The 23,047-nt window shown below is 39.1% G+C and overlaps 1 protein-coding gene and 1 long non-coding RNA gene across 31 annotated transcripts in view; one reads left to right on the forward strand and one right to left on the reverse strand.

Moving 5' to 3' along the window:
- Nucleotides 1-23,047, reverse strand: part of TJP1 (tight junction protein 1) — a 269,683-nt gene that overhangs the window by 103,776 nt on the left and 142,860 nt on the right. For 11 of the 30 annotated variants that reach the window (NM_175610.4, XM_047432990.1, NM_001355015.2 and 8 more), the window contains exon 1: nt 18,860-19,326. The exons of 11 other annotated variants lie outside the window; for them this stretch is intronic. In NM_175610.4, coding sequence (NP_783297.2) covers nt 18,860-18,886 — 27 coding nt within the window. In that variant the 5' untranslated portion in view covers nt 18,887-19,326. Of the gene's footprint in view, nt 1-6,443; nt 6,530-17,384; nt 17,533-18,273; nt 18,338-18,859; nt 19,327-23,047 lie in introns of those variants that run through there. 8 more of the 30 variants (XM_047432987.1, XM_047432985.1, XM_017022525.2 and 5 more) reach the window with 5 other exon arrangements.
- LOC124903451 (uncharacterized) lies at nt 21,366-22,755 on the forward strand. The gene is made up of 2 exons (XR_007064546.1): nt 21,366-21,474; nt 22,242-22,755. It is a non-coding gene; the product is annotated as an uncharacterized LOC124903451 (long non-coding RNA).

A 23,047-nucleotide genomic window follows, 5' to 3' on the forward strand; every position in this document is an offset into this window, starting at 1 on the left:
TTTTTCTATCAGGTGTTTTATCTTCCTGCTTTCCTTTCTCCATTCCCCATCAGAACAAACTGGCAATGTATTTTAAACTATATTCACAAAATCTCATTCCTATTTGACATTTCGAATACAGACAGTCCCTGACTTAGGATGGGTCAACTTGATTTTCTGACTTTACGATGGTACCCATACAACCATTGTTTTTCATTTCCACTACAGTATTCAAGAAATTATATGAGATATTCAACACTTTATTGTGAAGTAAGCTTTTGTGTTAGATAATTTTGCCCAACTATATACTAATGTAAGTGTTCTGAGCATGGTTAAGGTAGGCTGGGCTAAGCTTATGATACTGGGTAGGTTGGGTGTATTAAATGCATTTTTGACGTAAAGTATTTTCAACTTACGATGAGTTTAATCAGGACATTGTTCTAAGTGAGCTGAGAAGCATCTGTATCTGTTTTTCCACTTGGCTTTTAGGAAAATCAAATAATGCTTAAGAGGATTAATGTTCTTATTGTTAATTATAAAAAATGTTTATTCTCCTGTTAGTAAGCAATCTATACATTAAGGTCTTAATGTACAGTCTCCAGGAGGAGTGCAATAAGAGAAACTTGCTTTGTACAAGGGAGAAGACTAAAATACTAAAACATAATTGCTCTCACCATTCCACATCAAAATCAATATAGTTTTTCTTTGGAGGACTGGAAAAGTCCACATCTCAAAAAACTTCTCTGTTAAACATCAATTATAGCTTGATTTATCTGAAGGAAGACCTATGTAGAAGAAAGTAATTGAGAATGAAACATCAAAAGAAGTGGTTAGGCTCTTGACCAGCCACTAAACCAACTTAATCCATAATATAAGTGAGTTACTATGTTTTACCACTCCTTATCTTTAAAAAAAAAAAACAAAAAACAGAAAAATATATTCCTAGTTTAAATGATGGACCATGTCATCTCTCTCCATTCTCTAGCCTTTCATTTGCTTCTGTGGCAAAAGTAGCAAATTCTATCCATGGTTGTTTATATAACCAGGCAGTACTGATGAGGAGTTCTGAATGAGGAATGGAAGGATGAACAAACACGTAAATATGTAATAATGCAAATACAGTAAAATGATAATGGTAGAATCTTAGTGGTTGGGATTCAGGTAACCATGGCAGACTGCTTTCAATCTTGTTACGTGTTTGAAAGTGATCATAATAAAATGCTGAGGAAAAACTAAGAAATCCTTCTAGTAAATCACTCAGAAATCAAAGCTAAAATTGATATGAGACATTTTTAGTACCAGTAAATTTATTAACCACTATTTTAATGAGCATTCCATAAAGAAAAAATGTTCACTAATGACTGAGAATTTTGATGCATTAGAAAAGCAAGGGGTGTGGAGGTTCCTTTGGAAGAATACCTAAGAAACGCATGGCTTCTGGAGTGGAGAAAGGAAAACCAGGTAGGAGGAGTCTCACTTTTCACTGGGAGCCCTTTGTACTTTTAATTACATTCATCTATTACTTATCAAATTATTTTTAAAACTTAATATCCTTATTGTAAACTTGCTTGTCATTTTCTCATTTCAAACATGCACAAGGGATAACTGCATAACTTGCACAAAAAGCTTCTGGTAAATTACCAGTCTCAGGTTCAAGACATTTAGGCTTGTAGGAGACCAAGGGGAAAATGTATTACTCCTCTAAGCATGATTCTAGCACTACCATTCCCTAGTAACTCAGACAGATGCTGGTAAACAGGAAATGAACTAGACCAGGCATAAGGAGACCAGAGCCGAAAGGTATCATCAACTAGAAACGTGATCTTAATTTTCCTCACCTACACAATTAGGGAAATGGGTGAAATTATCTCAAATGAAAAGACTTTTCTAGCTCCAAAATTCTATCAGACTATAATTCCAATGAACAGGCTACAAATTCAATAATTAGTGAAGCACTGCAGGCATCAAAAGTGACTGCAATTCATGGTTGCTGGATTCTGAGTTCTGCGCACATTTCTAAGTCAGCATCAACTGACTAGAATCACAATTTCTGAAGAAGCAAAAAGCTGTATTTCACAATCTGCCAAGAGTTTGTTTAGTTTCTTTGTTCTAAGCTCCAGCTGGCAAAGACACTACTCAGATCACCAACTCTGAAGGGCTTCCTGCCAAAACTTCAGATCCCAGTTCTAGGCAGTTTCACTGTCCTTCAGGACTGATTACTGAATGGGGAAAGATAGGAGGGCACAATAACTGAAAAGACAGGATGAGCCTATAACTGGGAGAAGAACAAATCCAAAAGAGAAGATATAAAGTATACTCCAAATGAAGAACTCCTTAACATTATCTAAATACACAGCCAGTTAAATTTTACTAACCTTATGGCTGTAATTTCAAAACCAATCCATGTATCATTCATTCATTCATTCATTCAACAAACATGTATCAGACATGGTAAGTGTTGGGGAGGCCAAAAAAAGGTCCCTCTCCCTCCCTAGGGGCTCAAAGAAGCAGCTGAGAACACTAAATGGTATTTAGGTTGGTGCAAAAATAACTGCAGCTTTTGCCATTAAAATGGCATCAAAAGATATGAGCTTTTTGCACCAAAATAAATAACTTTTGCACCACATAGATAAGAGCTGTTATGGAAGATGCAAAAGGACTGTGTCTGCTGTGAAGATCAGAGATCTGTTCCCTGAGACAGCAACGTTTTGAGTTCATCAAGCTTGAAGGATGTCCAGGAAAAAAGTGGAGAAAGATGTTTCAGAAGAAACAGCATGTCAGCAAGATTGTGTGATGCTACACATGACGCTGGCTTTGATATGACTAAGTTGTACAATTTATGGAACAAGGAGAGAGTAAAAGGAGAGAAGGTGCAAGGGTACCAGATCACAACAGGCTTTATAATATAATGCCAAGGACTTTAAACTCAAATGGAAGACACTAAAGAATTTTCGACGATCAAATGATATAAGAATTCATCCTGAAGGCTGTAATGGGAAAATGATTTGAGAAAGGGAAACCAGTTAGAAAGTTAGTGAGAAGTGTGGGTGGAGTTCAAAATGGCTCTTGAGTAGTCAACCAAGTAGCAGTGCTGAAGTCAAAAGGAAAAGATGTAATTACCCAAGGACTAAGATAACCCTGTGGACAACCAAAGGAATTTGAGAAGAAGCAGACAATGAGGATACATGAAAACCAATGGAGCTAATACAAAACACTACTTACTGTCCAGAGAATACACCAAAGCTTAAGATCCCTCAATTTTTTAGATCAATACACCTCATTTATCTGACATCATAAAATAATAAAATTTCCACAAATCTTCAAGGAACACCCTTTCTTGATGACATGCAGTTCCCCATTAGGAAAACCAATAGTAAAGGTATTAAGAACACTCTGTGAACCCTCCAAGTTCCTTCTGTGAGCAAAGCTGCTACACTGAACGGCTTCTCATTCCTTCTGAACTCCAAAGTGTTTCTGTTTTGGTCTTTTTGGCTTTTTTCCATCCAAATTGAAAGCAAGATCATCTATGGAGATGAGGTTGAGCCAGGAACTTAAGGAGAAGGACAAGGTAGGTTTCAGTGAATAAAACAGATGACCCCTGCCCTTCAATGAAGTTTCAATTACATAATTTCAAATTGTGATCACTGCAACACAAATGAAGTACAAAGGGAATAGTGCTACATGTTAAAAGGTAAGGCAAAATATGTATATTTGGACTGATCTGATGGGCCGTCATTTAAATTCCCAAAATAGAAATGTCCAGGAGGTAGTAAAAAAGATCACTCTAAAATAAAATGAAGAAGGGTCCTAACGATATTCAGGGATTCAACAAACTTCATGAATAGAAGATAAAAATTCAGGAAACATAAGAATTAAAATAATGATCAAAATAAGAAGGCAGCAACCATAGGATAAAAGTCTCAATAGAAATTTAGTAAATTTAGCATCCAACACCCCACTGTATTCAACACTGGTTAAATTTACAAATGTATCACTGTGTCCATCCCTTGGTTAACAGTTTAGGAAACAAATGATGAGATGGATATGATTAGGAAATATTAGTCGGAAAGACAGACACAGTGAACCTGTAATTTTCTGGTTGATCAAAGCTGAAGGTCTGCTAAAAACATTAAGTTCACAGATAAGCTGCTACATTAGCTATAAAGTAAGAGTGAAAGAACATCAGCTTAAAAGTTACCATTATGTGTACATTAAATATTGAGAAAATCTCAGTAGGGACAGTTACAAATATTCTTGGAAACTTAAAATCTAGAGTGCTTTCAAGTTATCAAAAATAAAACTATTTTTAGGTATAGCATCTTCTAAAGGTTGAAGATAGATACAAAGATCTCTCACAATTTATTCAGGTAGACAGGAGGAGGAAGGGAATGGCATAGCAGAGATGAAGAGAGAGTGACAGTCCTCTGAGTATATCTTTTTGCATAACTCTCTTTCTTAGACCACAGTATTGTTTCATGACATTACCCTTCACAGATCAAAAAATTAAACTATTAAAACCAAAAAGACATGAGGGGAGGGGAGGAAATCAAAAACAGAATAAAGACAGTAACAAATGAACATAACTATATTACAGATGGAGAATGTAACCACACTAAAGAAGAGTTTAACTTTTCTATAAATCTAATATTTTAAAATAAAAAGTTTAAAAAAGTTATAATGGTATAGAAAAATGCAGAAAGATACCAATTTTGGAAAAAATATTTACGTACTCAGAAAAAAAACTTGGTTTCAGAGTTGTATATTTTAAGTTTTTATATATCCTACAATGAACACATGAATTTCATAATCCTTGAAAACTGGTAAACATCACATCTGAATTACGAAACAAAAAATGGGCAAAAGTGGCCAGGCATGGTGGCTCACACCTGTAATCCCAGCACTTTTGGAGGCTGAGGCAGGCAGATCATTTGAGGCCAGATGTTCAAGATCAGCCTGGCCAACCTGGTGAAACCCCGTCTCTACTAAAAATACAAAAATTAGCCAGGCATGGGGGCACATGCCTGTAATCCCAGCTACTTGGGAGGCTGAGGCACGAGAATCACTTGAACCCAGGAGGTGGAGTTTGCAGTGAGCCGAGATTGCACCACTGCACTCCAGCCTGGGTGACACAGTGAGACTGTCTTAAAACAAAAACATAAACAAGAAACAGGGAAAAGTGATCTACACTGTTAGAAGTTGGGACAGGGTTACCTTTGTGTATGAAGTAACTCGAAGGGATGGAGGTGGGGGAGCTTCGGGACGTAAAGTAAATGTTCTTCCTTGATCTGAGTTGTGGGCAAATAGGCATATTCACTTTGAAAATATATCAATCTGTGTACACCTATGATTTGCCTAATGTATTATGTTATTTAAAAATTCAAAATAAAGTAACCTGACAGAACTGTAAGTAATTTGACTGCAATGGATTAAAATAAATCAAATATGCTTCCATCCATCCATATGCCCACAGTGATTTTAAAAAATGATAAGTGCTGGCAGAACTCATTATTTTGAGAAACTGGTACGTATAGGGAAAGAATAAGATATTTACTCTGTCTTTCCTATACAAACAGTACCAGTGGGCGATCAAAATAGTAGATGAAGGAGAGTTTCTTTTTTTAGAAGCACTCCAGCTAACCAATGAAAAAGGAATAATAAAAATTGAATATCATCATTTTGTAACACCTAGTGAATTAAGGGATCTACACACTGATCATCAATGGCTGCAGACATCATCCAAAAACAACAGAAAAAACCCTGGGACCGAATGCCACTTATGAAGTAGAACTGTAAAAACAAACAAAAAAATCAAATCTGAATCTGATCAAGGCTCTAGATCTGTGCTATCCAGTACAGTAGCCACCAGCCACATGGGGCTACTCAGCACTTAAAATGTGGGTAGTCCAAACTGAGATATGGTATATGTAAAATATATATATGATACGAAATATGTGATATGTATTATGATATGCTATGTGCAAAATATACATGATATGTAAAATATACATGCAACAGTATTCAGAGACTGAATATGGAAAATAATTTAAAATATCTCACCTATAATTTTATATCATTGCATGCTAAAATGGTAATATTTTGGATATGTGTGTTAAATAAAACATGAAAATTAATTTTACCTTAAAGTTTTGGTGTGGCTACTACATTAGACAGAATTGCTCTAGCTACAGTTAACCAATTTACAGGAAATACAGTGGGCCAACCACCATTGTAATCACCACAAGGAAGCAAATACCAAAATTCATACTGTTAAAATTTCTACAAATAATCCTGTTTCTCAACCAATAAAGCTGCAAGGGAAGAGGGGAAAGAGAGAGACAGAAATGGGGGACCTCATATGCCTAAGAGAAATGTTAAACAATCACAGTAAGAGGACCTCATCAAGGAAAGTTGACATTTAACACAATTAGAAAACACTAAACATGGCTGGGCGCGGTGGCTCACACCTGTAATCTCAGCACTTGGGAGGCCAACGGGGGTGGATCGCCTGAAGTCAGGAGTTCGAGACCAGGCTGGCCAACACGGTGAAACCCCGTCTCTACTAAAAATACAAAAAATTAGCCAGGCATGGTGGCAGATGCCTGCAATCCCAGCTACTCAGGAGGCTGAGGCAGGAGAATCCCTTGAACCAGGGAGGCAGACGTTACAGTGAGCCAAGGTCATGCCATTGCACTCCAGCCTGGGCAACCAGGAGCGAAACTCCGTCTTAAAAAAAAAAAACCAAACACTTAAGTACTTGATTTGGAGTTTATTTTAAAAGTGTGCTAATGATAATGTAGTTATAGTACTTTTAAAAAAGACATCTTTTAGAGATATATATTCAGACACATGTTGAGTATTCCATTCTATCTCTTCTCTGAAATGCTTCAAACCACGTGTTTCCGATTTCAGGGTGAACCATCCAAAATCCAAAAATCTGAAATCTGAAATGCTCCAAAGAGAATTTTCTTTGAGCATTATGTCAGTGCTCAAAAAGTACTGGATTTTGAAGCATTTCAGATTTGGGATGTTCACTATGTACTAACAGATGAAAAGATATCTGGCATTTGCTTCAAAATAATGGGGAAGAGAAGACACAATGAATGAAGTATAGATGAAATGAGACTGGCTGTAAGTTGTTAACCATACTGGGTGACAGTAATGTGGGAATTCATTATATTCCCCACATCCACTTTTCTATAGGTTTGAAAATTTTCCACTTAAAAGAAGGTAACTTGAGGGGACTAGAAATTAATTACTGATTTAGGAAAGACCCAAACCAAGAATGCAGCTACCATGATGCCAGGATATTAAGTAGTATTTCCATGAGCTGGCTATTCCAGCAACTGCTTCCCCTCCCCTTTCAGAATAGTAAGAAAAATGCAACTAGTCCTGGAGATGGATTAGTACCTTCCTTCTGCTGCTAAGCTGAATTTAAGGTGGTCTAACATTACCAGTAAGTGAGTTAACAGCATTGAAAAGGCAACTCTTGTCTAGAAGGGGTAACAGATACTAATCAAATAATAGCAGAGAACTAAGTACAGGTTATCATAAGTGCTATAAAGGGGTACACAGAGTTTAAAGCACAGAGTTTTGACCTAGTTTCTGGGCTCTGGGCAAAGTCCTTGAGGAGAAGAGACAGCTATGAGGTGCATGAAAGATGGAGGTGGCAAGGTTTCCGGGTAGAAAAAACAGCACGTGCAAGAGCCTAGTGTAGGAAAGTGCATCTCTCATTCATTCAAATAATGTTTTGAGAGTTTCCTATGTACTAGACACTGTGTTAAACTACACGAATAACTGGACACAACTAGTATGACCTTTGTTCTCAAGGAGCTTACAGTCTAGCAGGAGAACCAAATGATCGAAAAACTCCATGGCTAAATATATAGTCACAAAGTTAAATAAGTACTATGAAAGAAGGAAAAACAGTGCCATGAGGAACTCAAAGAGAAAGTTGACAGGAAGTACACTTGCTAGGAACCAAAAAGAGGAAAGCACAGTTTGAGAACAAGAAACAAGGAGGAAAAAGATACGATGTGGCTAGAGGGGTAGGCAGGGGCCAAATAATCCACTAGGAGCTTACTGACCATATTAAGGATTTTGATCTTTTACTCTAAAGGTAGTTAAGCAGCCTAGGAATTTTAGGATGAGTGTTCGCATGTGTGTGTAGCGGGGCGGGGGAGAGCGGAGAGAAACTAATCAAACCTGGATTTTGAAAAGATTATTTCAGAAAAACAGATTGTAAGGGGAAGAGGGGGGTATGATACTTAGGAGGCTATTACAGGAATCCAGAGGGAGGATTACTTGGGTGGGGGTGGGGGGGTGGTGGGAGGGAGAATGTAAATGGTTGAAAGTACGGATAAAACAAGTAGAAAGACCTGAGGTGCTCAGCAAATCAAAGCTGAATAGAACTTGCTAATCAACCATTCACCATACTAGGTAGACATCCAAATTGAGCCAGGTACCCTGGATTTGGAATAGTCTTTCAACTCTATTGCCTAATCCATCAGACTAAGGACTGTATCTCTTATCTAATGCCATTGTAATAATTTTTTCAAAAGTATCTCAGGAACCCAAGGAACCTTCCTCTGAAACCATAAAACATCTTGCTGGGCTGAAACTACTAACCTACAGGCTGATTGATCTTTGTCCAGAAATAAATAAATGAATCCTCCTTCTGAAACCACAAAACATCTTGCTGGGCTGAAAACTACTAACCTACAGGCTGATCTCTGTCCAAAATGAATGAATGAATGAATGAATGAATGAATGTCTTAAATAATCTACAGGCCAACCTTTGTCCATAAATAAACAAGTAAATAAATAAAATTCCTATATGCCTCCTCTCTGATATTAAAATAGGCTTCACTTAAAATGTTTTTAGAAGACACAGCTAACATAATAGCTTAGTATGTGCTGAGCCCACAATCACTCTGAGATGGGTCTTGTTTGCATTTTTACATTTGCATTTTGTGTACAGATGAGAAAACAGCCATTTAGTGGCAGACTCAGGATTCAGATTCCAGAGGCTAAACTCACATATAAGTAAAACTTAAGAGTTGCTCGGTGATAATCTTTTCAGTCCTTATTTTACTTGACCTCTCTGTGCAGGATCTGGCCTGCTGACAGGTGAATGGTGTTTACACGGGTGTTCACTTTATAATAATCCATTAATGTACATTTGCTTTATGTACTTTTGTACACATGGCAATATATTTCACAATAAAAAGATATAAAAAACTAAGTCAACTAGCAAGACTTAAGTCAGGGTAACTTACATGAAAATCCGGATTTGCAACCTCTTGAAAAACTGGGAGATCTGGCCTGTCTTCTTCCAAGAAAACAATCAGCTGGGGCTGAGCAAGAGCTGCTTCCTTTAGACAAACTGGCTTGTGCTCTGATGGAGCAGTGCCCTCTCTTCTGGCTTTCATGATTCATGCTGCTTTTCTGGTCTAAGACTTACCTAACACCATCCCATACTCTTCTCCCTGGTGCTCTCTTACAACACACGAACATAAAAGGATGTGAATGTATGACTTATAGAACATGTAAGTAGATGTATGATTACCTATGGCAAGTAAATTTAACCTCAGATCCTTCACCTGTAAAAACAGAGATAATCGTAGTATCTAACAGAATTGTGAAGATTAAATGGGATAATGCACATAAAACACTTAGCTCAGTATCTGTCACAGAGTCAGCATGCAATATAAGGGGCTACTGTTTGTTTTGACACATATTTCTCACACTTATAACTAAAATGTAAGCCTACTTGCCATGGCTACTGACTTGATTTTTATAGGTGATACAGCATCAAAATAGTGTACTTCTGTATTAACACTCCAGTAAGTATTAATACTCCAATAACTGCCACTGTTAGAAAAAAAAAATCAGTAAATAAACCTTCCTTAGTACCTTTATATGACATTACCAGGAAAAACTTCCACAATTATATTTTGAAAGGCAGACTCATTTTTGCCAGATTCATGTATTTCCCCTGATTGTGGCTTTTGGTGGTCTGATCAGTCAGGTAAGTGGATATCTTACTACTAAAACATACTTCAATACTTACTACTAAAACATACTTTAGTATGACAAACATCTTAGTCATAAAATATCCTCCAAACTAAGACCAACTTGATTTTTCAAGATAATCATAGGAACACCAAAAGAAGCTTACTACCTTTTGCTCAGCTGTTGGTACTCCAATGACTGCCTCATAATGCATATCTAATTCTTGCCCCTCAGACAGACATATACAATATTTTTCTCCAAAAAGCCACAGAAGTCTAACTGAAACTATTTTCTCCCGAAACCAATAAAGTCCTCATACAATGGAATACCATGAAGTACAAGAACTGAATGAAAACTAATGAGCTACAGTTCTCCACAACATAATCTTACAAACATAATGCTGAGCAAAAGAAGCCATATACAACAGAATTCACACTAGAAGATTCTGTATGCGCAAAGTTCAGAGAGTCAAAACTAGTGCTTTCAGAATGCATAATTAGGTGGTAACTATAAAGAAAAACTAGAAAATGAGAAACCTAGAAGACAAGATACATGCAATCTTTGAAGAAGGGAGGATATGACCCAGAAAAGGCATGTTAGGGATTCTAGCACTTATCATTATGGACAGAATTTTATTTGCTGCTCTCTACCCGCACCATTAAAATGCCCTATCAGTACAGAGATGTGTTCACTGCTGCATCTCCAGCACCTACAACAGTGATTGGTACACACGAGGTAACCAACAAATATCTGCTGAATGTAAAATTCCGCTTTAGGAATCCAAATTGTTACATATTTCACAGCTTCTTGAACCCTAAATGTAACAGTAACAGCTAGTATAGTGTTCATTTGCCTTGTCAGTATATTCAAGGAGCTGTTAAGCATATAAGCCAATTACTTTATAATTCTTAATGTCTCCCTCCTATTGAGATATTGATACCAAACATATGCAGAAAACACTTACATCAATGTATCCAGATTCAATTCAAACATTTAAAAACATTAACAAGGAAAAATACAGAAACTCTGCTAAACAGCAAGCCCAGGTTTAGAAAATGACTTTGTCACCTCCTCCAACGAAGAAAGCACACAAGAATGCTCTGTTATTACAGGATGACCATAAGTTTGCTCGTATTTTTAAGAGTAAACAATGCAAATCCTTTGTTTCTTCAACAATGAGTTACACAATTCACAAAGTGATCATTACAGCGTATAGCAGTTGAAAACTGTAAATTTCTAGGATCGGGATCCCAAACAAAATGTACTCATTTAATATGTGTTAAGCTAACAAAAAGAATTAGTCATTACTGGTATCCTCCTGAATTTTAAAATTACATACTAAATTAAGTGAGCTAATCTTATATTAAGTTTAACTGGTGATATTCAGTTACCAGAAACTGTTGTACAATCTCCAAGATAATGACAATTCCAAAAGCGTGAAAATTCCTAAGATAACCAAGAAGAAAAATGAACTTTTCAGTCTTTGGGAATTTACATTTTTTTAAAAAGGAAAAAATATTTCGGTAAGTCAAAAAAAATTAATTAAACCAGGTATACGCTAATCTTATGTTCCTAATTAGAATCCACAGAAAGTAATATCAGCTTCTGTTTTACCTCCTTTCCGGACATGATAAACTAGAATTGAGATCATTCACCAGTTAACTCACTTCCCAGTATTTTCAGTATATCAACTGAAATATATCCGCAACACAAACTAATAAAACCTTATCTCTTGATCTATCCCAAAGTGAGGGCCACCTGAGATTCAGTATTGAGCACTACATATATGACAGGGTTTTGTTATCACATTTCAAATGGTGTTTTACAGTACAAAGTTTGGTAACATTGGTGTTCTCATGATCTAAAGCTGTGTTCTTGTGGTAAAGGCAATCATTCAGAGTCCATTTATTTTCATCCATGCTTAGGATATAAGATAAAACTCCCTACCCACGTATTCCCCACATACTGCTCATTATTAAGAATTTATCTGTTTAAGAGGAATGGAAATAAAGCACCTGGCTAGCCCATAAAGGAGCAACCTGAAGCCACTCTTCTCTGCAATAAATAAATAAAGATGCACTCTAGGTCAGAGAGAGCAAAAGTCTTATTTTTATTGCTGGCTTATGCAAGAAATACTGCAACACACCAATTTTATAGGATTAACTTTAAAATCTGTAAACTATCCTAATGTCTATTTCTTTCTACAAGACTAAAAGTTGTTAAAGTAAAAAGGTTTTTCAAGATTTGCTTTCAAAATTCAGAGGTGCAAAGCAAGTTCCAGTCAAATATTCCAGGAGGATCATTCTAGACATAAACTATCTTTTTATTTAACATATCAAAACTTTGCTAATTAGAAATGACTGGCTCATTCCACTAGCTTGTCTTCAGCTACTATAATGCTCAGTCATACACAATGCTGAGCACGTGAATGCTTTCAGGCAGGCCTGAAATGAGCAATGACTGAGCAGTCACAGATGGGTGGCACTACACATGAATTTACAGCTGGACTCATGGTCTTTCAGTAAGGTGAATTTTTATCATATCAGGGGTATGTCAAGTAACAGGATTACGTCTTCAAATTTTCCACCAAAACTATTATTTTTAAAGACATTTTCCTTAGCAGCATGGTGATCTATCATATTTATACACAGTTTTATTCTTAGAACTGTACAGAGTTTACATTTGGTCTCTAAACAGAAAAGAGATTAAAGAGCAAGTAAAAGTCAGAGCCAGACCTTGTTTCCAGGATTGGAGGGGAAAAAGGGAGTGGAACTACTGTACTTTTTTTCCTTCAAATCAAACGGGAAGCAGTACTACATATACTGCGTTACAGCCCTCGAAGCCACAGATTGGTTTCCACCTCATTATTTATTGGTGTCTTTCCTTTTTTTTTTTTGAGACAGACTCTCACTCTGTTGCCCAGGCAGGAGTGCAGTGGTGCTATCTCGACTCACTGCAACCTTGGCTCAACTGCAAACTCTGCTTCCTGGGTTCAAATGATTCTCCTGCCTCAGCCTCCCAAGTAGCTGGGATTTTAGGCATGTGCTACCACACCCGGCTAATTTTTGTATTTTTAGTAGAGACGGGGTTTCGGCCGTGTTGGTTGTGCTGGTCTTGAAGTCCCGCCCTCAGGTGATATGCCCGCCTCAGCCTCCCAAAGTGCAGGGATTACATGCTTGAGTCTGGCAAATTGGTGTCTTTCCTAATAATATAATGTAATTTGTGCCAATATATAACCTGGGGGGGAAGAACACCACAATTTGAAACATAACTATCTTATGAAGCTGTCCTGAAACAAATGTAAGAGTTGTAAAATGTAGTTAGGATTATCAGCCAACTATATAAATTAAAGCTTTAACCATGATGGTCTAAAATGCCAAACACACACAAAAATTATTGCTACAGTGAGGATCATTAAAAGTTGGCAGCCAAACTTCAGTGACTTCTCACAAACTACAGTGAGTTTTTCACTTTTAAAACAGTATGAAGCAAGTATGCATTGATCAGTAACTATCATAATTAAAACACTGCATCACTCACTCAAGAAACAATCCCTATATGTAATGACTGACTCTTGTCATTAATTTTTGTTCATTAGCTTGGCCATTTTCTGCAGCTCTTAAGGTTTCAAAAACGTTAAGATATCAAGAAAAGCCCACTGTATACACAAATTAACTCAAGATGGATTAAAGACTTCAATGTAAAACCCAAAACCATAAAAACCCTAAAAGAAAACCTAGGCAATACCATTCAGGACATAGGCATGGGCAAAGACTTCATGATGAAAACACCAAAAGCAATTGCAACAAAAGCTAAAATTGACAAATGGGATCTAATTAAACTAAAGAGCTTCTGCACAGCAAAAGAAACTATCAGAGTGAACAGGCAACCTACAGAATGGGAGAAAAACTTTTGCCATCTACTGATCTGACAAAGGTCTAATATCCAGAATCCACATGGAAGTGAAACTAATTTACAAGAAAACAAATATCCGTATCAAAAACTGGGCAAAGAATATGAACAGACACTTCTCAAAAGAAGACATTTATGCTGCCAAAAAAAAGGAGGTATTTATGCGGCCAACAAACATATGAAAAAATGCTCATCATCACCGATCATTAGAGAAATGCAAATCAAAACCACAATGAGATACCATCTTACACCCGTCAGAATGGTGATTATTAGAAAGTCAGGAAACAACAGATGCTGCCGAGGCTGTGGAGAAATAGGAACGCTTTTACACTGTTGGTGGGAATGTAAATTAGTTCAACCATTGTGGAAGATAGTATGGCAATTCCTCAAGGACCTAGAACCAGAAATACCATTTGACCCAGTAATCCCATTACTGGGTATATACTCAAAGGAATATAAATCATTCTCCTATAAAGACACATGCACACATATGTTTACTGCAGCACTATTTACAATAGCAAAGACATGGAACCAACCCAAATGCCCACCAATGACAGATTGGATAAAGAAAATGTGGTACATATATACACCATGGTATACTATGCAGCCATAAAAAAGAATGAGTTCATGTCCTTTGCAGGGACACGGACGAAGCTGGAAGCTATCATCCTCAGCAAACTAACACCAGAACAGAAAACCAAACACCACATGTTCTCACTCATAAGTGGGAGTTGAACAATGAGAACACATGGACACAGGGAGGGGAACATCACACACCAGGACCTGGGGCCTGTTACCCGGGTTGGTGGTGGGGGGAAAGGGAGGGAAAGCATTTAGGAAAAATACCTAATGCATGTGGGGCTTAAAACTTAGATGATGGGTTCATAGGTGCAGCAAACCACCATGGCACACGTATACCTATGTAACAAATGTGCACATTCTGCACATGGATCCCAGAACTTAATTAAAAAAAAAAAAGCCCACTGTGCTCCACTTGATACAATAAATCAATTCCTGGGTATCATGTAAATCAGTGTAACAGTAAAAAATGACATAAATCATTTTCATACTTACATTATAATTTCAGATAGCCACAGCGGGCAATACTACTATTCCCGAGACTTAACAAAAACATTTAAGTATTCAGCAAAATCTAATAAGCATATACAATAGCACAATCTTAAATTAAATTTTATTGCTTCCTCCAAAGGAAAACAGCTTGAAAACACAGAAGCCACTGAAACTTCCTTCAGCCACTTTTCTGTGATTCAACCAATGAAATCGTTTCTTAACAATGATTCATACCACTTTCTTACACATTTAAACAATTCTTTGGTGACGCAGAGAACCACCCTAATTCTTGTTTTTCAACTTTCTAATAATCTTAAATCAAATACACCAGTAAACAAAATTCTGACTGCGAACGCAGACGTTTATCACACATATAAAAAACGTTTTTTTCCTTTATTTATTTATTTGAGACAGCGTCTCGCTCTGTCGCCCAGGATGGAGTGCAGTGGTGCGATCTTGGCTCAATGCAACCTCTGACTCCCGGGTTCAAGCGTTTCTCCTGCCTCAGCCTTCCCATTAGGGGGGATTACAGGTGCTCGCCACCAGGCCCGGCTATTTTTTTTTTTTTTTTTTTGTATTTTTAGTAGAGACGGGGTTTCACCATGTTGGTCAGGCTGGTCTTGAACTCCTGACGTCGTGATCCGCCCCTCCTGGCCTCACAAAGTGCTGGGATTACACCGCGCCCGGCCACGTTTTTTCCTTCATTACTTTTTGTTTTTGAGACGGAAGCTCACTTTGTCGCCCAGGCTGTAGTGCAGTGGCCCCGATCTCAGCTCAATGCAACCTCCGCCTTCCAGGTTCAAGCAATTCTCCTTCCTTAGCTTCCCAAGTAGCTGGGATTATAGGCACGCGCCACCATGCCCGGCTAATTTTTGTATTTTTAGTAGAGACGGGGTTTCACCATGTTGGCCAGGCTGGCCTCGAACTCCTGACCTCAAGTGACCCACCCGCCTTTATTACTTCTTTAGTATCATGCACGGAGGATTCTTTTCAATCTAGGTACATACATATTTTTAAGTAGTATTCTACATTTTCTTCTATTTTAGAATTTTTATTGCTCTTTGTCATTTAGATTTCCTTTGATTTTTTTTAGCCTATGAGGCAGAAAACATTTTTAAAAAATGGATAACCAATAGTCCTAGCACCATACATTGAACAAGCCACTTTCTCCAATAGTCTACAATATTATTTTTTACCACATATTCGTAGTTTTCCACCTTGCTGGCTAAATGAACTTAAAAGTTATCGTATCTCTGTGTTTCAATTTCTTCACCAAAAAGTAGAGATAATAGTTCACTTCATAGGGTTACTGTGAGAATTAAATAAATTGAGCACTTAGAACAATACCTGACATGCAATAATACTGATGATCATAATTACTAAAAGCCCATAAATGCACAGATGTTTCTGGACCTCCCTGGTTCCTGAACTGACGGGCTGCTTTAAATGACTGTGAATTTCTAACAAGTTTCCTGATACGGCCTTCTTTTTCCAAAATTTTGTCGCTATCATTTTATCATGTAGGTTTTCTTATCAATATGTCAAGTTTTCTACAATACAACACTAGAAGACACTGACTTGGGGAAAATTAGTAAATTCTACAACAGTGACTGTCTCCATCCAGAAAATACATTGTTTCATCTCGTTTATTCAGATCTCACTTTATGTCCTTCATTAAGATTCCAGTAGCTCACCAATATTTGTTATATTTATTTCTAGGTAGTCTTTTTAGAGAAACATTTAGTAGTATATATCAGAATTTAAACTGCACATAGCCTTTGCCTCGGTAATTCCATTTTTAAGAATCTGATATACAGTAATATATGTGTACAGATATAAAAAGGCTACTATTCCAAGAACAAAATCCTGGAAACAAATGTCTATCAAGAAAGCAAAGATAATCTAAACAGCAGCATATTCATAGGATGACAAACTATTCAACCATTATAAAGAAAACCGAATCAAAAGCACTGGCTTATTAGACAAGAGTTTCCCAAACTATCATGCTAAAACAGTAACAGCGAGCTTCCAAATTAATGTTGCCTTTTTTTTTTTTTTTTTCCAAACTGAAAGGAGGGTGGGGAAAACAAACGCATCATATGTAAAGCACTGAGTCCAGCCTGGCTCTTAGTAAGCATTTTAATCACCTTCAAAAATTAAATGTGACTTACGGAAACAGGTCACTGAATATTATTTCATTTCACTTATTCATTTATGGCCTGTTTTGCTCTATATAAAATTCTGAAGTGGCTCCATAATACAGCATCTTAAAAAAAAGCTTTCAACTTGCCCTTTACTCGCAAATGTTTACAATGCAAAAAAGTCCCTACAACGTAATATTTAACGAGTGATGCTTTTCAATATGCCATACAAATCTCAATACTATAATTCAGGAGAAGTACTCCTCCTACCTTACTGTGGCAATCCATTGAAAACGTATTTCTCTCCATACTTGAAATAACCTCTTAAAAAGTGTGTTGTCTTGCATATTAAGTACCAGAGATCACACTTCAGGAACAAAGTGACATTCTGTGTAATACGGAAACAAAGCCTTTCCTCCTAGGAAAGAAAGCCCCAGAAAAGACAAATAATGGGAGCTTATTTTAAAACCAAAGCAAAATGTTGCCTTTTATCCTAAATCTCTGGATCAAGTTTTACCTTTAGATTGTTCTTCCTCAATGTAAGGTCAAAAGGTGCAAGTTAAATTTTTCTTAAACGAAGAATACTATATCCCTTAAAACAATCTATTCATTAATAAGTGTAACCGCTAGCTTCTCCCAGCCAGCAAACAAGCTTCTGTGAGAGTTCAAAAGTTTCAGAGGCATAGTATTCCTGCTCCCAGATGTTACGGGTAAGCATTTCAAACAAAAATACACACAGAAAACCACTACCTGCCCAAGTATCTCGATACTATTTGAAGTAATGAATTGATATTCTTTAAAGGGGAGATTTTTTACTCCTCACATTTCTGTATTCCTTTGTTTGAAATAACAAGTACTATTTTATGATGAAAAAATTAATATACAAAATGGGAGGAGCATCCTAGCTGTTTTTCAGGAACTTTGGCTTTTTAATGTAATACACAAGTTAGTTTCAAAGCAATGGGAAAATGCAATAATATTTCAGAGCACATAGGAAAAGTAACAGGAAAAACGTTACTTTTTTCGGCTGAACTCACCGGCCTTTACTAATTTTTAAGTGCTCATCTTATTGTCCATTCGTAGGAATACTTTGTATTACTTGTGAAAGTTTAATTCAAGTTAAATTATTAAATGTTAAAGAGGTTATTTTCAAAGTTACCTTAAATAAGTAATACAGCATGAAAGAAAACCCGACCTACTACGCCTCACAGGCTGAGTGGAGTGTTTTGCAGTCTCAAAGCCTTATCGCTGGCGTGCGCATACCGCAGGGAGTGACATCAGATCGAAACTACAGGGTTTCGCCGGGGACCAACCACTCCTCCAAAGACAGCAGCTCCCGGCCAGCAGGAGGTGGCACCCCAAGCCCCGACCCGCTGAGAGCCGGCTTCCAGCCCCCGAACCCTCACTGGAGCCGAGTTTCTCCGCGAGGGACCTGTTGCGTGTCCCCGCCCTCAGCGAGCCGCAGCCAGGCACAGGCGCCGGCAGCTATGCACCTGCCCAGTACGGCGGCCGGGCGCCCGCAGCCCCCTCCCCGGCCGCCCCCAGTGCGGCCCGCGCCGCCCCCGCCCGAGGGGCTCCCCGCGGCCCGCGGCCCGCGGCCCGCGGCCCCGCGCCAGCCCTGCCCACCCCGCCGCCCCGGGGCCCAGACAGCCGCCAGCGAGGGAGGGCGGGACGCGGGCCAGATGCCGGTGGGCGGGCGGCGACGGTCGGCCCGGTCTGGCCCTGGCGGCCGCGGAGGCGCTCACCTTGGCGGCCGCAGCTCTGGCGGACATCTTGTCTCTCTCCAGCGCCGCGCGAGGCTCCTCGGACCCGAAACTCCGCGGCGCTGGCCCGCCCGCTCCTCACGCCACAGCCCAAATAAACATCTCCCGAGAGCGAGCGGGGCACGGGCGGGGGCGGCCGGAAGGGCCCGGCCCAGGGGGAGGGAATTCAACTCGGACAAAAGTCCGGGAAGCGCCCGCCCCGCCCGGGTCTTCTCCACGGGGCGCGCCCGACCGGCACCTCCCTCCGAGCGCGGCCACCCACTCGGCCTCCCGCAGCTTTCGCAGCCCGGCCACGTCGGCCTCGCCCGGTCGCCCGCCCGTCAGCAGCACCCGTGGCCTCCCGGCGTCTCCTCGGAAGCCGGCTTCGCCACGTAACTTCCCGGGAACCGGCGGCCGCCAAGGAACGCGGCGTCCGCTGGCTCAGCCGGCGCCGGCAACTCAGCGGCCACGCAAACCTGCCGGCCCGGCCCACTGAGCATGCCCGGCCCGGCGGGGGCGGGGCTGGACGAGGCGAGGCGAGGCGAGGCGGGGAGGGGGCGGGGCCGCGGCGGGGGAGGGGGCGGGACGAGCGGCCGGGGTCCCGACCCCAAGCGCGGAAGGAAAAGCCGGGTAACCCAAGTAACTTGGAAGACAGTTTCCGCTGCCGTGCGAGTCTTCCTGTTTGTTTTTATCCAAGGTCTGGCAGAATTCGCCCCCAAGGAGAAAGCGCCTGTGCACCAAAGCTTTCCTTAAGAGACTTGTCCACTTGCTCCTCGACAAGCCACGCACATCATGGGGTGAGCCCCATGCATGAGTGCGGCTGGAAAGGCCGGCAGAGCCGATACCCGACAGTTGTTTCCTTCACTGGGCAAACAGCATGGTCACGGCTGTCACCGCGTGCCTCGGCGTTGTTCCCACGGAAGGCGGAATGCATTTTCTGCAAGGCGCGTCATGGCTTTCATCTCCGAGGAGCTCCGGCAGGGTCAGAAGCGTTGCTCTCGTTCACCGGCGCCGACTGCCAAGGCTGAAACTGGTGATGAGGTCATGGGCACCCGGAGGCAGCAGCCTGAGAAACACCCTAGAGACCTGTGACATCTCGGCCCACACCCCACATTAGACCTCAAGATATATCCAAAGTCTCTTTCCCGCCCATCTAGACAGGAATCTTGAAAAGTTTATTTTTGGCCATCAAGATTGCTGAAATTCTTGTTGACCGAACGGGTCAAGCTGCCCTGCATTCCAATGCTGTCCCTCCAACTCAAAGTTGGGCAGAAAAGGGTGTAAACACGTGCAGTCCATGGTCCAGTTTAATCAGCCACTACACAAACTTCCCACAATGTTGACGGCTTTGCTAAACACCAAGGAACATGGTAAGAAACCAATCCTAGACTCACTAATCTACACTTGTAAATGTAAAGGTCTTCAAAAAATGCCAGAAATCCTTAGTAACATCAATGATAACATCTTTAAAGTATCTGGTATAGTGCCACAACCGGCACAGAAGAAATGGAAGAAATCATAAACATCAGGCTTTAGACAATGGTTTTCTCTTTAGAATTCAACTGTATGAAAAGAACAAATTTAACAAAGAAGTATGTGTAGGTGATACATAAGTATCAATTAAGGCTTCGAAGTGCCACACATCTTGCAACCCAAAGCTGTCTGAACCAGAAAAGAGCCTTCTGCAAACCAAACCCTTATTCCTTTTTGTTCTTCATAAAAATGGTTGAAGTCATTTTTGTTTTAAAGTCATGTTGTAATTGTTTTGCTTTTGGACAAAGTATTATTTATTCTTTTAAGAATTGTGGGCCAGGCGTGGTGGCTCACGCCTGTAATCCCAGCACTTTGGGAGGCCGAGGCGAGCGGATCACGAGGTCAGGAGTTTGAGACCAGCCTGGCCAATATGGTGAAACTCCGTCTTTATTAAAAATACAAAAATTAGCCTGGTGTGGCGCGTGCCTGTAGTCCCAGCTACTCGGGAGGCTGAGGCAGAAGAATCACTTGAACCCAGGAGGCGGAGGTTGCAGTGAGTCCAGATCGTGCCACTGTACTCCAGCCTGGGCAACCAGCAAGACTCTGTCTCAAAAAAAAAAAAAAAAAAAAAAAAAAAAAAAAAAAATGGTGGCCAGGCGTAGTTGCTCACGTTTATAATCCCAGCACTTGGGGCCGTGCGCAGTGGCTCAAGCCTGTAATCCCAGCACTTGAGAGGCCAAGGCAGGCAGATCACTTGAGGTCAGGAGTTCGAAACCAGCCTGGCCGACATGGTGAAACCCCATCTCTACTAAAAATAGGAAAGTAGCCGGGCATGGTGACAGACGCCAGTAATGCCAGCTATTCAGGAGGCTGAGGCAGGAGAATCGCTTGAACCCGAGAGGCGGAGGTTGCAATGAGCTGAGATCATGCCATTGCACTCCAGCCTGGGCAACAAGAGCGAAACTCCGTCTCAAATCATCATCATCATCATCATCATCATCATCATCATCCCAGCACTTTGGGAGGCCAAGACCAGAGGATTCTTTGAGGCCAGGAGTTTGAGACCAGCCTGGGAAACAGTGAGACCCCATTAAAAAAAAAAAATTGTGATTAAATTTCTTCATATGCAAACACCATTTAAAAAGGTTTGGGAAGTATTTTTTAATTTTAAAAGGTGGTGATGAAAGACCTTTCACATTATCTTTACCATTTAAGAAGATGTGCAATTGCATAAGCTGCCTAGAACTAGGTGTGGTGTCTTTAATAGCACCTAAATCTAGAGACACTATCTACAAATGCACTGACATTTTTCACTTTTCCTTATTTGTCACTTTTACAAGTTGCCCAATGTGTAATTTAAATGCTAGATTGCAACTATTTGTCACTAATTAAAAATAGTTATATATTTAACAGTTTTATCTTTGCCATGGTTTAAAAAATGAAATCAAACAAAAATATTTCATCTTGAAAATATTATTCTTTAAAAATTATATTTAGTATTTCAGTGACTAATAGTATCACTTTAAAATTTTTCAGTGGTATTTTTAATATCTAAATTAAACTTCATAAAGTCTGTTCTTTAAATAAACAAGAGAAGGCTTTTATCATCTGTAAAATAAAGGTAAAACTGTTGCCAACAATTAAAAACAAAGCTTTATTCCTGCAGTTTATTTTTTAGGTAGGTGCTTTGACAACAAGTGGAAAGTATAAAGAATAATCTGAAAGAATCACCCATTTAACAATTAAAGAGTTTATCCATGGAACACCAAAAAAGTATTTTCTGACTTTTATGCTTACACACGCATGTCATCATAGCTCCTCTAGATCAATATGGGAAGAAATACAAGTTAATTAAGGATTCTCATTTAGAGTTACTATAATGTTTAACCACAAATCTCTTTCGATTGTACAGATTTATCTTATTTCTGATCATCTCTGCAACTGAACAGGAAACTAAAAAACCACAACACTTAAAAGACAACTTCCTGTGGGATTTTTGGTGTCTGCGGCTCAGAATGAAAAAAGCATTATGTGTGCAAAATCTTTACACATTTTAGATAGAACTACTTAATAAAACAGCCTTGACCAAATGAACAACTATATCCACACCTAATTTGTATATATGTATATGTATGGTTTTAATTGCAAAAAAGATCCTTAGGAAAGCATATTTATGTTATTTTTATATGAACTGTGAGTTTACGCTTGACAAAGAGGAAGTATTTATTTACGGTAGTGAAGCATTAGACAATCTCGATAATGTCAGAGAAGAGAATATATACAAAATATTAGAAGGAGAAGCACTTTATCAAGATGTTATAACAACCAAAAGTAATCCTGATTCCACTCCTATGCCATACCATTAAAGATTCTACAAATTGTTACAGAATTTTCCTCTGCCAATAAAGTCATGTAACAATGTTAAATGGGGGAAAGATTCTTTTAAGGCTCATAATGTTTCTAAATTTCATAGACCAGTAAAAATTTTAAAACGATCTTAGAGGTGCAATATAGGAGTACCAACTTTTTAATCTTATAAAGTAAAAACATTTTAAAACAAACATTATAAACTGTATATGTAAAGATAATTAAAATGGCAAATTTTATATTATGTACATATTACCACAGTTTAGAAATACAAAAAGAAAGCTATTACCAACACCATTTCATTTTTTTTTTTTTAAAAAGAAGACATAAACACTAAAAAACAAGTCTTTT

The sequence above is a fragment of the Homo sapiens genome, chromosome 15 (assembly GCF_000001405.40).
Source record: "Homo sapiens chromosome 15, GRCh38.p14 Primary Assembly".
Classification (NCBI taxonomy): Eukaryota; Metazoa; Chordata; class Mammalia; order Primates; family Hominidae; genus Homo; species Homo sapiens.